Genomic DNA, 17,842 nt, shown 5'->3' with positions numbered 1-17,842 from the left:
ATAGTCTCACTCTGTTGCCAGGCTGGAGTGCAGTGGCGCGATCTCGGCTCACTGCAATCTCCACCTCCTAGGTTCAAGCCATTCTCCTGCCTCAGCCTCCCGAGTATCTGGGATTACAAGCACATGCCACCACACCCAGCTAATTTTTGTATTTTTAGTAGAGACGGGGTTTCACCATGTGCATGTGCAGGATGGTCATGATCTCCTGACCTTGTGATCCACCTGCCTCGGCCTCCTAAAGTGCTGGGATTACAGGCATGAGCCACTGCACCCAGCCAATTTTTATATTTTTGGTAGAGACAGAGTTTCACCATGTTGCCCAGGCTTGTCTCAAATTCCTGGCCTCAAGCAATCCTCCTGCCTCAACCTCCCTCCGAAAGTGCTGGGATTATAGGTGTGAGCTACCATGCCCAGCTGAAGTTTATATAGCATTAAGATATAGAAAGACTATGTAAACAGTCATAACGAAATACATAACCACGATTAAATATGTTTTTGACTCTTGCTGCTGTCAGTATGACAGTCTAGGTAGATACTCTGAGAAGAATTTTGCTATAATACGACTGGATCCTGGACAAAAATACAGCAAATAATTGTAATGCTTTGCTTCTTTACGTTAAAGTAAGAGAATTTTCCAAGGCCCCCAAACCCAATGAACAAACAAAATAACACACACACAGTAAGCTGAAATTGTAATGGTGAATGAATAGAGCAAACAAAGCTTGGGATGGACAGTGCTGGGATTAGGAGACAGCCCATGGGGCCTGGAGGACACGGGAGAGCTGACCTGAGACTCGGTCATTACGCCAAAACTTATGAAAGGAAGATAATGAACTATCAACCAAATAAGAGCTCACAATGAGAAGAGACCAATTACAGCAGAAAGCAAGGCTCCAGGAACTAGAATTTAGTAGAAACAACAGATTTGGAATCTTTGAAATGTCTTCAGCTACTGACATTATTAGATACAAATTTGAAAATTACATAAGAAATGTTTGAAAACATAAAGTGGCAAACAACAAACACTATCAAAAATGATCAGGCAGATTTGGAAGGAAAAACTTTTGGAAATAATTAAAAATTAAAAATGAACAAAACAGCAGATTTGCTACAACTGAACAGTAAATGAACAAAATGGGAGATAGAGATGAATAAAATGCTATAGAGAGAGACACAGAGATAAAAACAGGAGAGACATGGAAGATGGAATGAGATGATGTTATATATATCTGAATTGAATCCCACAGGGAGACAGTAAGAAAAAAGAAAAACAAATAACAGAAATAACATATCATAACTTTTCTATGAGTCCATTTCTGAATTATATAATGGAGAAAATAGAACCTTCCTCACAGGGTAATTGAGAAACTATAAGCAACAGTATACACAACACACTTCAAACAATGCCTGGCACTGGTACATCATAAATGGTAACTGCTGTTATTTTTATTTCTGCTCCTCTCCCCTTCATTTCAACTTGCTTCATTTTTCTATTTCTTATGTCAATTAACAGCACACTACCATTTACCCAGTCACCCAAATCTTAACATTAAAGTCATTCCTGACTACTTACTCCCTGTCTTCCTCAACTCTTTCTTCATTGAACCAATTCCCTTTAAGGTGTGATCAAATCTAAGCATCTTACCATGGCATCTCTGGCTCTCAATGACCTGATTCCTACCTACACCATTCCAGCCTCAGTTTTCTGCCAGTCCTGTCTTACAGTGCTTACTCCAATACCAAGCAGCTTGTGTCCACCAATATATAACATGTGTATCTTCAGGGTGAAGCATGGTTCTTTAGATACTCAGGAAGCACCATTCTTTAGGCTGCCATGCCACCAAGGAAACATTTGGGATCACAGCAATAGGTCTGGGTGCCTACCCTTATCTCAAACACCAGTAGAATTCACTTCATGTCATGCCCCACTTTCCTGTTTATCTCAGATCCCAGGAAAAGGCCCAGCTCTCTGGTTATTTTCTCAGCCTCATCCCCAAACATATTGCTCTTTACATAATTTTTTTTTTAGACGGTCTTGCTCTGTCGCCCAGGCTGGAGTGCAATGGCGCAATCTCGGCTCATCACAACCTCCGCCTCCCCGGTTCAAGTGATTCTCCGGCCTCAGCTGGAATTACAGGCATGCACCACCATGCCCGGCTAATTTTGTATTTTTAGTAGAGACGGGATTTCTCCGTGTTGGTCAGGCTGGTCTTGAACTCCCGACCTCAGGAGATCGACCCGTCTCAGCCTCCCAAAGTGCTGGGATTACAGGTGTAAGCCACTGCGCCTGGCCTCTGTACATAATTTAATCTAGTTCAGTCGCCATCTCCCACTTTCCCCTCCATGCCCTTCCACTGGGACCTTTGGACCTTTCACTCTAGAATCAAACTCTTCCATATCCTCAGGCTCTTTTCTCTAGTGGAGGCTTTTTTTTTTCCCACTTCACCTTCTGTCACCTCTGAGACCTCAGGGCTGAGAATTGAGGCTTGTATTCCCTGACTCTTTTCTTGCCTTCAAAAACCCCTGGCAGCTCTGAGGCCCATCATCATCTGGCTCTACCCATCTCCCCTACTGAGTTAGCATCTCCTTATCATCTGCCCCACACCCATTCACTCAGGAATTTCTCACTAACGGATCATAGTTCTCTGCTCTACCACAATGTCTGTGGACTTCAACATTTACATGACAAGCCCAACTCTACCGCCTTATGTCTCTGCTGCCAGCGCTGTGCAGTCTACCTTAGCTGTTCAATCTCATGGTCACCCCCGGGACTGTGTCACCATCAGAGGGTGAACCATATCTGGCATGCCAGGTTCACATATCCCATTTTTTTCACCAACATCTCTCTTATTTCTAATTCATTGCCCCCAAGATGTCCGCTACCATACATCTCTGAACTTACCGAAATTCTTCTGTCCACTGACCCCGCCACTTTCTCATTAACCATCAGCCTGTTTCCTAGCTTTCCTGCTCTTTTTATCCAATTGAGACTTCTCTTATTCATTATTAACTCTCTGATGTAAATACTTCCCTTCTCTTCCAGTGTTTTTCTCATTATACTACTCTGGATAAACCGTGCTATCTGCCTTCGCTGGCCTGAGTTGCTATATCTTGTTAGAGAAAAATCATTGCCATTAAGCTGACGAGTGTCCCTTTAAATTTATAACTGTAAATTTCTAACAGGTGCCCAAGTCCACCTTTGTTTCTCTACTAGGCTCACTTTTCTCTGCCCAGAGAAAATCTTCACACTTAGTCCTCTTTCTTGAATCTCCCCATCTCCTCCTCCTTCCCCTTAACTTTCAACTGATGACTCTACTTCATTCTTCAGTGAACACACAGATATTGCATCAAAATGGGGCCAGGTGCAGTGGCTCACGCCTGTAATCCCAGCACTTTGGGAGGCCGAGGTGGGCAGGTCACAAAGTCAGGAGTTCGAGACCAGCCTGGCCAACATGGTGAAACCCCGTCTGTACTAAAGATACAAAAAATTAGCCAGGCGTGGTGGTGCATGCCCAAAATCCCAGCTACTTGGGAGGCTGAGGCAGGAGAATCACTTGAACCCGGGAGGTGGAGGTTGCAGTGAGCCAAGATCACAACATTGCACTCCAGCCTGGGCGATAGGGTGAGACTCTGTCTCAAAAAAAAAAGAAAAAAAATGTATTTAGCCGGACGTGGTGGCTCACGCCTGTAACCCAGCACTTTGGGAGGCCGAGGCGGGCGGATCACCTGAGGTCGGGAGTTCAAGACCAGCCTGACCAACATGGAGAAACCCCATCCCTACTAAAAATACAGAAATCAGCCAGGTGTGGTGGCACACGCCTGTAATTCTAGCTGCTAGGCAGGCTGAGGCAGGAGAATCGCTTGAACCCGGGAGGCGGAGGTTGCGGTGAACCGAGATCGCATCATTGCACTCCAGCCTGGGCAACAAGAGCAAAACTCCGTCTCAAAAACAAAAAACAAAACAAAAAAAACCAAATAAATAGATATTGCACCTAAACTCCCTCATTTCTCACCACCAGAACAACAAAAACGCCAACTTACCCACATTTATACACATCTTTTTCTTCTTCCTCTCTGATATAATGGAGGAAGCTTTCCTCTCCCCATCAAAGCCAGAACATCTACTTGTACTGTGGGTTCCATCTATTCTTGTTTCTCATAGATATCCCTTGGCCATTATTTATCTAACGTTCCTCCTCTTACTCATCATGCTCCAGCCTCATGATCTTTGGCAGTCTCATGAAGAGACCAAGTTCCTTCTTACCTCAGGGTCTTTGCATATAGACTTTCACTGTCTGAAGTTTTTCCCTGTCTCTATTGATTATTAGCTCTTTCTCAACCCCCTTTTTTTTTTTTTTTTTTTCTGAGATGGAGTTTCACTCTTGCTGCCCGGGCTGGAGTGCAATGGTGCGATCTCAGCTCACTGCAACCTCCGCCTTCTGGGTTCAAGTGATTCTCCTGCCTCAGCCTCCCAAGTAGCTGGGATTACAGGCATGCGCCGCCACGCCTGGCTAATTTTGTATTTTTAGTAAAGACGGGATTTCACCATGTTGGTCAGGCTGGTCTCAAACTCCTGACCTCAGGTGATCTGCCTGCCTCGGCCTCCCAAAGTGCTGGGATTATAGGCGTAAGCCACTGCGCCCAGCCCCTTTCTCAATCTTTTAAGCATCAACTTAAATACCAACCCCTCAGATAGGTCTCTTTTTCTAACCAAAATTGGTTCCAAATCTTCCTCTGTTACTAATACTGTCCATTTTTAACTTCTCAATTGCTTTTTTATTTCATCTATAGTAATTTGAAATTCTTATTTGTCTGTCTTCCCCATTACAACGTAAGCTCTGTAAAGCCAGGGAACATTTTGTCTAACGTTTTTTCTCCAGGGCTCAGCACAGTCCTCTGCACGTAATTGGCACCAAAATAAATTTATTAAGTGATTTGTTGAAAGTCATTTTTTTGTGTGTCCCTAGTTGATGACTTTACATCACTTATATAGTTACTAGCAACCTTAATGATCAAGAAATCTCACTTACATATCCACATGCTCGACAATGATGCCTCCTTCGTGTCAGTGCATTGAAAGGTTCTTTACATTTCATACACATTGTCACTTCATTATCTCGGATCCATCTTGGGGCTCTTTTCCCTAGCTCAGCAGTCTAAAAAGGGAAGAAAGATTCAATTTTAATAGAAAAAAACTATAATTCCCTTTTATTATTATTTTTTGAAAGAACTTTAACTACATTGCTCAAACCATGTTCTGAACTATAATCCCAGCACTTTCGGAAGCTGAGGCAGGCGGATCACCTGAAGTCAGTAGTTCAAGACCAGTCTGGCCAACATGGTGAAACCCTCTCTCTACTAAAAATACAAAAATTAGCTGGGCATGGTGGCATGCACGTATAATCCCAGCTACTCGGGAGGCTAAGGCAGGAAAATCGCTTGAACCCGGGAGGCGGAGTTTGCAGTGAGCCAAGACTGTGTCACTGCACTCCAGCTTGGGTGACAGAGCAAGACTCTGTTAAAAAAAAAAAAAAAAAAAAGAATAAGAAAAATTCAAAGAAGTTCAAGTAGAATGAAAAGTCACTCACTATTGTGTTCATCTAAGAAAGAATGAGATTCTGTCTAACCAGCCAGTTCTGACATTGTAAAGGGAAAAGGTTGGAGAACAAAATGATTAGACAGATCTTCTACACCTGCAAAGATATGAAAGAGGTTGAAGTTAAGAATTTAATTCAACTCACAGAAACCTCTGAGTGAATGTCATTATCCTTTGCAATTGCATTTCTGAAGGTTTCATGCCTTTGATGAAAAGCATCGATGGTTTCTTGAAGGGCCTAAAGTATAAGTAAAATTCAAAGCACACATTAAAGTTTCTCATATAAACCAATGAATATACTTTATCAAACAAATATCTATGATAGGAATCACTTTGAAAATTAAGTGAACCTGTTCTGATTACTACATATTAAAACACACACAACAATATATGCACATTTGTATACACAGAGATGTTACTAAAAAACAAAAGTGAAAATAAGCTGGGCGTGGTGGCTCACACCTGTAATCCCAGCACTTTGGGAGACCGAGGCAGGCAGATCGCTTGAGCTCAGGAGTTCGAGATCAGCCTGGGCAGCATGGCAAAACCTCGTCTCTACGAAATACAAAAAAAAAATTAACCAGACATGGTGGTGCACGCCTATAGTCCCAGCTACTCAAGAGGCTGAGATGCAAGGCTTGCTTGAGCCCAGACAGAGGCTGCAGTGAGACATGATCACACCACTGCACTCCAGACTGGGTGAGAGTGAGACTCTGCCTCAAAAAAAAAAAGAAAGAAAAGGAAACAGAAATGAGGCTTACCTTGATCCATTCTTCTTTGTCTTGCGCAGAACTAAAATAAAACAAAATTAAAGTGAATGTAAATAATATTAATGATTCACACTGGGTGAATAAAACTATGCTTTCCTGTTGTTCCAACTTTCTGGAAAATTCAGGGATGTTATGGAAGGAATTATAACAAAAATTAATCTCTGGCAATTAAACAAATAAAATTCTTCTTAAGTAGAGGTTCAGACTATCCACTGACTTTGGTACACATAAAATTTGATGGGGTTAGTTAGGTTTAGCTTCCATTTATATACTGTTTAATAACCATCATTCAGTTAGATATATCAGGTAACTGTATCTATAGCATTACACTGAATATACAACAGCTAATCTTCCAGTTTTCTAAAACACATGAAGGCTACTAAAGGCTACTATTCACAGCCCATCTTAGAAGAGATAATAATTATCTTTGAGAATCTAAAATATCTCCCTAAAGCCTTAGGGAGCTATTTAACATTTCCTTTGATAAACAATTTATTTTCCAGTTCTTAGAAGGCTTTAGGCAATACCAAACCTAACCCCATTTTAGATAAAGAAAAGCATATAAAAATTTTAAATGCCTGTAGGAAGGAGGTTTTACAGATTAATAGACCCCAGTGTTTAGTAATCATCCTTAGAAAACAAATTTCTTTGACTGTAGTCAGGTTTCCTTTTTCCTATAAGGCAAACTTTATTTCCTCTTTCTTGCAGGTAGGTTACGTTGCTGGCTTCTGTCACATACCACATTTGAAAAATCCTCTTTAGTGGACTCTGAACTGGGTAAGAGCTCCAAATTGAAAAATTCTGAAGAGGATCAGAGTGTGCTCTGTCTGTTTGTATGTGCTTGGTAGAGGGGCTAAGTTGAGTTCCAGCCTGAAGGTCACCTGCCTGATTCCTACAGGTATGAAACATGCATGAGACTGGCTGAAGGATTGTTTGTGTGTCACGATCTATCTTTCCAGCAAATTGATTATTGAACACCATGATGTGCCAGGAATGCTGCTGGAATCTGTGTCTGCCAAGTGGAAGCTTCTGCTTATTGTTCACCTGGGGGCTTCAATCTTGCTTCTCAAAATAAAAAAAAAATTTTTTTTAAATTAAAAAACTCTCCTTATTGCTCTGCCTTGCCACCACATTTCTGTTGCCCTGGAAGCACAGTTATCTGCTAGCTGCTTTTAGCTTTTCAAATGCAGAGAAACCCAACAAGTCTTTATAGCTTTTTGTTTTAGTTTTTAGTTATGGTAGATTTTTTTCCCCTTTATATTTTTATTTCCACTTAGCAATAGACAACCATAATAGTATTCTGTATATAAAACAGAATACTTTTTATCTTTTTGAAAGTAGAAGAAGCACAAATGTACTTCAGTCTTGAGGCTGACTCATACTTTAGCAAGAAAAGTGGGATCCTTTTTTCCCAGTTAGCTTCAGAATCAAAAATATAAAAAATCTTTCAATATCTCCAAATATATACCCACTTTTTGATTCCACATAATTCCTATGGCACTCTGACTTTCTTGGAACTTCAGTTTGTCCCATTCTTAAAAGAGCATGATAGGCTGGGTGCAGTGGCTTAGGCCTGTAATCCCAGCACTTTGGGAGGCCGAGGTGGGTGGATCACCTGAGGTCAGGAGTTTGAGACCAGCCTGGACAACATGGTGAAACCCCGTCTCTATTAAAAATAAAAAATTAGCTGGGTGTGGCAGCATGTGCCCATAATCCCAGCTACTCTGGGAAGCTGAGGCAGGAGAATTGCTTGAACCTGGGAGGAGGAGGTTGCAGTGAGCCAAGATCGTGCTATTGCACTCCAGCCTGGGTAACAAGAGCAAAACTCTGCCTCAAAAAAGAGCATGATAGATCATACCAAAAGTAATCACTTAATTCAGATCTTCAATATCACCATATAAGCATAAATATAACTAGAGCAATAAGATTAGGTAAATAAGAAATTTTAGACAGAATAACCATATTTCCAACAAGAATTGGGAGGTATCCAGTACCGTGTTGGATATGTTATAAAGTGATGATTGCCTGTACTTAAGAAAATTCCTCACCAATTAGCCCCATCTTGATGAGAAAATAGCCCAACTGGCTAAAGGAGGACTGAAAGTATCCATTCAGGCAAACTAAGAAACCTGAGAAATATCTACCCTGTAGTTAGACACGTGTCTTGGGTTTGCAGATGGAAGTGTGCTGAAGTTTCAGAGTTAGCAACGCCTTCATTCTTTCTGCAATGAAAACTATGATGATCAGAACTACTGATGAGGCTGGACGCAGTGGCTCATGCCTGTAATCCCAGCACTTTGGAAGGCCAAGGCGGGTGGATCACCTGAGGTCAGTTCAAGACTAGCCTGGCCAAAATGGCGAAACCCCATCTACACTAAAAATACAAAAGTTAGTCGGGCTTGGTGGCAGGCACCTATAGTCCCAGCTACTCGGGAGGCTGAGGCACAAAAATCGCTTGAACCCAGGGTATGGAGGTTGCAGTGGGCCAAGATCATGCCATTGCACTCCAGCCTGGGCAACAGAGTGAGACTCTGTCTCCAAAAAAAAAAAAAAAGTGTTCCCTGTTGCCAGGGCCAGTAGCTCAGTAAATCAACCACTGAGTGAGGACTCAGTCAAGAGCCTTCAGCAGAGCATCATATATTCTGCCCTTGGGTTTGAGGGGCTAGGGCCCAAACCCACCATGAGGTAGGGAAACAATGACACTCAAAGGCAAGTTTCAAATGCTACCTGCTCCCTAAGGAAAAGGAAGTTCAGTATATATTCTCTGTGGAAAAGCAAATAACTGGCTGTTTCTTCAAACTTTCCCAGCCTGCCCACATTCCAAAACTGTAAATTCACCAATTCTTGGACTCCCTGGGCACAGATTCCTGTTAAAATGATTTCTCTTTTTAAAATCTGAAATTTCAGCTTTTAGGCAGTTACTAAGTATGAATATCCAGGGTAAATTCACCTGAGCAGCCAGAAACATAAGCTAATGATGGAAAGGAGCAGAAAAACATTCTGAGTCTCCGTGGATTCTGGGATATTGACACCACTACAGCTAGGATTGGTTCTTCACCCTCTGCTCTGTGACCTCCTGAAGCATCCAAATTTTTACCAGGCCATGCATTAGAACAATAAATGGATGACTTATTATTATTATTGTTATTATTTTTTGAGACAGAGTCTCGCTCTGTTGCCCAGGCTGGAGTGCAGGAACAGGATCATGCCTGGCTAATTTTTGTAGTTTTAGCAAAGACGGGGGTTTTGCCATGTTGGCCAGGCTGGTCTAGAACTCCTAATCTCAAGTGATCCTCCTACCTCAGCCTCCCAAAGTGTTGGGATTACAGGTGTGAGCCACCAAGCCCAGCTTGGATGACTGTTTTCTAAAGCAGGTATTTCAAAACCTGACAGCACTCTGTATTCCAGGGGTTCATGCGTGAGGTAGCTATGATCAACTGCAGTCGTTCTCATGGATTTTTATCCTTTAAAAATGGTTATGGGCCGGGTGTGGTGGCTCATGCCTGTAATCCCAGCACTTTGAGAGGCTGAGGCGGGCAGATCACCTGAGGTCAGGAGTTCGAGACCAGCCTGGTCAACATGGTGAAACCCTGTCTCTATTAAAAATACAAAAATTAGCTCGGGAGGCTGAGGTAGGAGAATGGCGTGAACCCGGGAGGCGGAGCTTGCAGTGAGCCGAGATCAGGGCACTGCACTCCAGCCTGGGAGACAGAGCGAGACTCCGTCTCAAAAAAAAAAAAAAAAAAAAAATTAGCCAGGTGTGGTGGCAGGCGCCTGTAATCCCAGCTACTCAGGAGGCTGAGCCAGGAGAATAGCTTGAACCTGGGAGGCAGAGGCTGCAGTGAGCCGAGACTGCACCATTGCCCTCCAGTCTGGCCAATGAGAGCGAAACTCCATCTCAAAAAAAAAAAAAAAAAAAAAAAGAAAGAAAAAAAATGGTTATGGCTAGGGGAATGTTAGCCAGAACTCCAAACCTTTCTCTCCCAATCAATAAATAAAAATATAAGAAGAGCCATACCTTCTAGAAGTCCTGGTTGCCAGAGGCCACCTGAGCCCCTAATGGCTCCCTTCATGTATCCTGCAACTATGGTGGCGGTAGTTTTACCCTTACCACCTTGCCTCTTATGAACATTTCTTTTCATTTGATTGCCCCTAAGGCCCTAAAATGTAGAGTATCTGAAAGACTCAGAGATTAGCATGGAATAATAAGCATCAATAAACATTTGTGGACCAAAAGGAGGAGTGAACATAGGATTAGGAGAGAACCTTTTACTGTAAGTCAAGACTTGATGGCAATAATTTCATCCTCTGAGTACCCTGTATTTCTGAAGAGTTAATCAATTTACTGAATGCTTATTGTCTACAAACCACTGTCCTAGGCACTATGGAGGAATCAAGAGAGGGGAGACATGACTCCTGCTTTTCAAGAACCTACAGCTCTGCATTTACATCCAACCAGAGTTCCAGAGATATGCAGCATTCACTTGAGAAAAACCCTCAGAGCCATTCTATTTTAATGATTCATTCTGTTGCCTGATTTTGGAAAGCAGTGTGATAGAAATGGTTCCCTTACCTGGCCTGCAGTTCCAGTGTTCTCTCTTTCCCAGACACCTGGAAAGTATGTGGATATTCTTCATTTTGAGTCTCTACAATTTTCATTCCATCAATGCCAACCCTGGTTCGAACTGTGAATTTAGAGCCTACCAAGCTGAATTTGGGCACACAGTACAGCAACATGTTGTTGAACTGCAAGGAACGAGAACATATATCAGTAAAGAAAAGAAATAGGGGAAACTGATCAGGTTTTTTTTTGAGACAGAGTCTCACTCTGTTGCCCAGGCTGGAGTGTAATAGTGTGACCTTGGCTCATTGTAAGCTCTGCCTCCCGGGTTCACGCCATTCTCCTGCCTCAGCCTCCCGGGTAGCTGGGACTACAGGCACCCGCCACCACGTCCGGCTAATTTTTTTTTTGTATTTTTAGTAGAGACAGGGTTTCACTGTGTTAGCCAGGATGGTCTCGATCTCCTGACCTCGTGATCCGCCCGCCTCAGCCTCCCAAAGTGCTGGGATTACAGGTGTGAGCCACCGCACCCGGCTGGAAACAGATCAATTTTAAAGGTAGCCCTAGACAAAAATTCTAAGTAATTTCTAGACAACACAGTACTTCCTGCATGAGAAAAATTATTTACTAAAACACTGAGGTTTATGCTTGTATAAAAAATCATATTCCTACATTTTGAAAAATATATTTCCCATTCATGGCTTATACATATTTTATTGATATTTATGTAAATTAATAATTTTGTACTACTGCACTAAGTAAATTAGTTCAATAAATTCACAACAAATTACTAAGGACCTTTGATATACCAGGAGCTTAATTTCTTAACTTTGTAAGTTCTTAAACACAAGAATTTCTCATTGATGTATCTTAGAGGGCAAGTCTAAAACAAGGTGTTAGAAGACAGTAATATTTAGCAATTATGATTATATCTGAGAGAGGGTCTCACTCTATCACCCAGGCTACAGGACTCACTGCAGTCTTTAACTTCTGGGTTCAAGTCATCCTTCTGCCTCAGCCTTCTGAGTAGGTGGGACTATAGAAACACACCACCATACCCAGCTAGTTTTTCTTAGTAGAGATGAGGTCTTGCTATGTTGCCCAGGCTGGTCTTGAACTCCTGAACTCAAGCAATCCTCCTGCCTTGGCCTCCCAAAGTCCTGGGATTACAGGCGTGAACCACCATGCCCGGCCTCAATTAAAAAATTTTTTTTGTAGATACAGGGTCTAGCTATGTTGCCCAGCCTGGTCTTTAACTCCTGGTCTCAAATAATACTCTCACCTCAGCCTCCCGAAGTGCTGGGATTATAGTGTGAGACATAGCATCTGGTCAGCAATTTTTTTTTTAAACCAGACTGTTTAATGTTAAGCTTTTAAAAAATAGCCTATTTATTAGTTCAAATCTCATTAGAACACGTGAAAAAAAGCTCCAAAAGGTTTTTAATCACCATCCATATCATCGTCTGATTAAGGCCACAGCTTGCTTGCTAAGTTTTTCCTGTTAACACTTCTTTCCCTCTTCTATCAAGGACTTCTCAGGAGGATATTTGGTTGAAGCTGTGAATGTTGCAGGAGCTACAGAGCCACCAGCACAAGGGACAGAGGTCACACATTCCAGCCACCAACAATAACCAAATTGTTCCTGCAAACTGAGTGACAAATGTAATGGTATGGCATAAAATTTGTGAGTTATCCGATACTTGTCCTCAAGTTGGCTTTATAAGTTCAGCACTCATGCTGTTTTATAGAAATAAGTCCATGAATATGAAGGTTCTTAGCATTTGCCATTTGTAGTTACGCTCACATGACAGATTATCTTATAAATGTGTATGTTTCTCCTTCCCTTTCATGCTTTCAGGACTACATCCCCTCTATTATATTCTCCCTAAATGGGACTTCACATTCTAAACTGTCAAAAATCCTATATGAATCTTAAAATAGTTCTGATCACAATATGATGCTAGTCAATAAATATCCTTTTCCTCTTCGCATAGGTGAAGGTGGGAGCTCCCGCACGATAGAAAACATTGCTTACAAAGAAGATTATGTCATATATAGGAAGAAACCAAGTAGCTAGCCCTGTTCCCTCCATGAACCTTGTTCCTGTAGCAAAAGCCACCACCACCTTTCACAAATAATTACTTCTCTTTGGGTTTCCCCAGATACTGAAAAAAGAAGTTATAGCAACTATGGCATGAAGAACATTGACTTTCCCTTTCAGGGTAGGAGATTCCCTTTTATTTCATGCCCATAGCTTAGAAGTAGTGATTGGTGAAGCAATCTCAGACTAGCGAGGCAATTTCTAGAAGTCCTAGGTTGTGATTAAAAACTACAAGCCTCAATATTATTAAAAACACAGGGAGGGTCTTTCTTGATCTCTACTGTTCAAGTATTTATTTCAAGCCTCTAAAAATATATTTGACTGAAATAATTCAATTTGTTTTCTCACCAGTGACAATTTCATTAATGTTTGTTTTCAAAGGTAATAGGATACTGGTGGAGAAAATTTCTAGTGCTCGTTCTGTGTTCAAAGATTAAATAAGGGAAAAATTATCTGCATCTATCAAATTCCAAGGAAATAAGGAACAGAAAACTCCAAAGAGCCAAGAATAAAAAGTCTTGGTTGTTTTGTGGGATAATTTGGTGATTTTATTTTATTTTTTAACTTTTGGATGTCAGACAGTTTATTTCAAGAGTAGCTGCCATGGTTTGAATGTGTAAAAAGCGTGTGTTGGAAACTTAATCCCTAATGCAGAAGTGTTGGGAGATGGGGCTTAATGGTAAGTGTTTGGGTCATGAAGACCCCAATAATCTATGAATTAATCCAGGAATGGATTAATGCTGATTATAAAAGGGCTTGAGGCCATGAGGTGGATTTCTTGCTCTCTCTCTCTCTCTCACCATGTGATGCCTGCCTTCTGCATGTTATGATGCAGTAAGAAGGCCCTCACCAGATGCCAGCCCCGCAATCTTGGACTTCCCAGCCTCCAGAACTGCAGAAAATAAACCCCTGTTCTTTATAAATTAGCCAGTCTCAGGTGTTCTGTGATAGCAACATGAAATGGCTTACATTAAACAGCATCCTACATTAACATAAAAAACAATGAAAAAGTATGGTATGGAGGCATGAAAATATGCAAACACATGAAGATCATTTAAAAGCAGATAGCAGATTCTAAATACAGTTTGGTTTTCCAGACAAATGTATTATCTCAAGTGTAGGAAACAGAAAACTAGCCCTCATTACCTTTCTAGAGAGAAAAGAAAATAAAAATGGTGCTTCTGAAGTTTCTACAAGTAAAAGAACAAGAGGTTCCATGGGAATAAATGTGCACTGGCAAGGCAAGATTCTGTGACAAGCACAGCACTGGAGAGGGTGGATGAAAAGAACCAACATGACACTGGAAATGTTTCTAAGATGGTCTTCAAAGAATAAATGTGGCTCTCCTAAAATTCCTGCCATGTGACCTCATTCTCCTGGGAGGCAACGGCATATGTTTGATGGCTTAAAGTAACTGGAACAGGAGGGGTCTTTTCCTCAGTCACTGACTGCCACTTTCCCCAAGGTTCTTTGCCACCTGGACTCCAAAGAGCTGTTTAATTCAGCTCTGCCTCAAGATATTCAACAGAAACCTCTTTCCAAAACAACTCCCAGAAGTGAAAATTAGGCCGAGGCAATTGGTTAGACCCAGAGCTCAGAGTTTAACTGCAGAGGCTGTCACATTAATGAGGAAGAGGAGAAAGGAAAATGATCCTAGCAACTGAAAGGCAAAGACAGAGGAAAGACATTGGCTCCTGGTTATGTTGCCTAGAATGATGTATTAAGCACGTCTTTTTATTAAGTATTTTTGATTTTAGGCATCTTAAGGCCTTGTTGACACTGACAGGACTGCCCCTCCCAGGATTACCCGATTCCTAGAGAGAGTAACACGCCTTTCATGTGGAAACCAACCAAGTCAGAACTCACACCCGCAGTCACCCCCTGTATTAAACACTTACTCTCTGGGACACTATTCTCCTGCCCCAATCACCTCAGGGCCAGGACAACAGCCCCTAACCCCTAAAGAAATTATTCCAACTAGCCAATCCTAATCCTGGTGCTCTGTCTTGCCCATTCCTTCCTGCAGAAACCACAATAAAGGCTCTTGCCCACGTTTTCTGCTTGCTCCTCTGCCTCCTGACGCTGGTGCTTCCCCACTGCTCTCCCGCTTCATATGCCACACCCCCACCCCACCCCGATCTGCCCTTCCGATGGCAGTCATGTGATCTTTTATAATAGACCTCTGAAGAAGACTCTGAACCCTAACATGACACATCCTTGTTTTCTATTTAGCTATCTATATTACCCGTGAAAGAAGTACTTGTGTTTAGCACAAATGAGAACTTTTATAGTTAATCTGGTAAAAATACACATTTTTAAATTATGAAGATATTCACATACCATAAAATTTACTCTTTTAAAATGTACAAATCATGGTTTTTAGGATAGTTGTAAATTGTGCAACTATCACCAATTCCAGAACATTTTATGTCTCTAAAAGGAAACCTCATATCCATTTTCCATTCCTTGCTAGTCTTAGGGAACCACCAATTACATCCTCTCTCTATGCATTTGCTTTTTCTGGACATTTCATATAAATAGAACCATACTGTATATGGTCTGTTGTAACTGGCATCTTTCACTTGACACAACATTTTAAGGTTAATCCATGTAGCATATATAAGTTTTTATTCCTTTTTCTCGACATATACTATTTCATTGCATGAACATACCACATTTTGTTTACCTATTCAGTTAATGGACATTTAGGTTGTCTCAAATTTTTTGGCTATTATGAATAATGCTGTTATGGACAAAGATGTGCAAGTTTTTGTGCAGACACATGTTTTCAATTTTCTTGAGTTATAAAAACTTGGAGTAGAACTAGTGGGTCATATAGCAACCAAATTCTTTTAAAAACATGACTGACACAAAAAGACTTTTAAAAGTTTGTGGAAAAATGGAATTAAAAGAAAAAATTTATTTCAACCTAAGCTCTACCAAGTTCAATTTTGTAATCAATGATAGCAGCCATTTAATCCATCCTAAAGAACTGAGGGTCTTGAGAATTTTACCATGGCAATGCAGTAGTTTTTACACTATTAACTGAAGAAAATGGGTGTCCTTTATAGATTCTTTAAGATTAGGAAACAAAAAGAAGTCAGAGGACTGTAAGGTGTACGCTTAATGATTCTCTGTCAAAACTCTCGAAAAATTGCCCTTGTTTGATGAGAATAATGAGCAAGAACATTGTCATGGTTTAGAAGGACTCTTTGGAGAAGCTTTCCTGGGTGTTTTTCTGCTAAAATCTTTTGCTAGTTTTCTCCAAGTCATCTCATAATAAGCAGATGTTATTGTTCTTTGGCCCTCGAGAAAGTCAGCAGGCATATTGCCTTGAGCATCCCAAAAAACCCCTGCCATGACCTTTGCTCTTGACTGGACCTCTTTTGCTTTGACTGGACCACTTCTACCTGTTGGTAACCATTGCTCTGATTGTGTTTTGTCTTCAGGATCGTACTGGGAAAGCCATGTTTCATCTCCTGTTACAATTTATTGTAGAAATGCTTTAGAAGCTTGATGCCACTTATTTAAGATTTCCACCAAAAGTTCTGCTCTTGTCTGCAGCTGATCTGGGTGCAACATTTTTGGTACCCATTGAGTGGAAAGTTGCTTAACTTTAATTTTTCGGTCAGACTTGTGCAAGATGAACCCCAATGAGATGTCTGTGGTATTGGCTACTGCTTCTGCTGTTCATTGTCAGTCCTCTTCAATTAGGGCAGGAAAAAGATGAACTTTTTCCTAGCAAAAGGATGTGGATGGTCTGCTGCTGCAGGTTTCATCTTCAACAATGTCTTGTCCCTTCTTAAAATTAGTTACCCATTTGTAAACTGCTGATTTCTTTGCGGCATTGTCTCCATTAACTTTTCATGAAGTGTCAATGATTTTATCATTTTTGCATCCAAACTTCACCGTAAGTTTGATGTTTGTTCTTGCTTCAATTTTAACAGAATTCATGTTGCTTTGATAGGGGCTCTTTTCAACCTGATGTCTTTATTTTTTATTTATTTATTTTTCTGAGACAGGGTCTCACTCTGTCACCCAGGCTGGGTGGCATGGTCATACCTCAGTGCAGCCTTGGAACTCTTTGGCTCAAGAGATCCTCCTGCCTCAGTAGCTAGGATCCTCCTCCTCTCAAGTAGCTAGGAGTACAGGTGCAAGCTACCATGCCCAGCTAATTTTTAAATTTTTTGTAGAGACAGGGAGGTCTCTGTATGTTACCCAGGTTGGTCTTGAACTCCTAAGCTCAAGCCATCTTCCTGTCTCAACTTCCCAAAGTGCTGGTATTAGAGGTATGAGCCACTGTGCCTGGCCTCAAACTGATGTCTTATCCTTCTTAGTGCCCCAAACCAGATACTGTTCAGACATGTTATAACAAGTTACTATGGGTTTATTTTGTTGCAAAAAAAGCTTTGAAATCTACGCATAGTTTTTTCATAACATGCATTTTCCATGAACTTTTTCAAGACCCCTTGTACTGAACACCCCTCTGCATGACAATTAGTTCCTAAGTTTTCCTTTCAATGGAGACTGGAAACAGACACAGAAGCCTCTAAGCCCCCATGACAACTCATGCTATGGTGGGTGAGATGACTGCCTCAGAGCAGAAAAGTCAGACATGAATAACATCCTAAGAACGTACTGTATGCCAGTCACCAGGCAGCCTTTTCACCCATGTGTCTGTTTCTCTTTAATAACAATTAGAATGAAAGCTAACGTTTATTAAGCTATTATTCAATGTTAGCTTATTCTTTGTCAATGCATATTATTATGATTCTTATTATCATCTTATTAGATATAGAAAGGAATTGAAATTC

The 17,842-nt window shown here is 41.2% G+C and overlaps 1 protein-coding gene across 23 annotated transcripts in view; it reads right to left on the bottom strand.

Moving 5' to 3' along the window:
- Positions 1-17,842, bottom strand: part of FGD4 (FYVE, RhoGEF and PH domain containing 4) — a 246,493-nt gene that overhangs the window by 15,241 nt on the left and 213,410 nt on the right. For all 23 annotated transcript variants that reach the window (NM_001370298.3, NM_001384126.1, XM_047428291.1 and 20 more), the window contains 4 exons: positions 10,940-11,112; positions 6,358-6,388; positions 5,742-5,834; positions 5,031-5,156 (listed from right to left, as the gene is read on the bottom strand). In NM_001370298.3, coding sequence (NP_001357227.2) covers positions 5,031-5,156; positions 5,742-5,834; positions 6,358-6,388; positions 10,940-11,112 — 423 coding nt within the window. The remainder of the gene's footprint in view (positions 1-5,030; positions 5,157-5,741; positions 5,835-6,357; positions 6,389-10,939; positions 11,113-17,842) is intronic.

This window comes from Homo sapiens, chromosome 12 (assembly GCF_000001405.40).
Source record: "Homo sapiens chromosome 12, GRCh38.p14 Primary Assembly".
NCBI classification, from domain to species: domain Eukaryota; kingdom Metazoa; phylum Chordata; class Mammalia; order Primates; family Hominidae; genus Homo; species Homo sapiens.
This window is presented reverse-complemented; position numbering and strand designations above follow the sequence as displayed.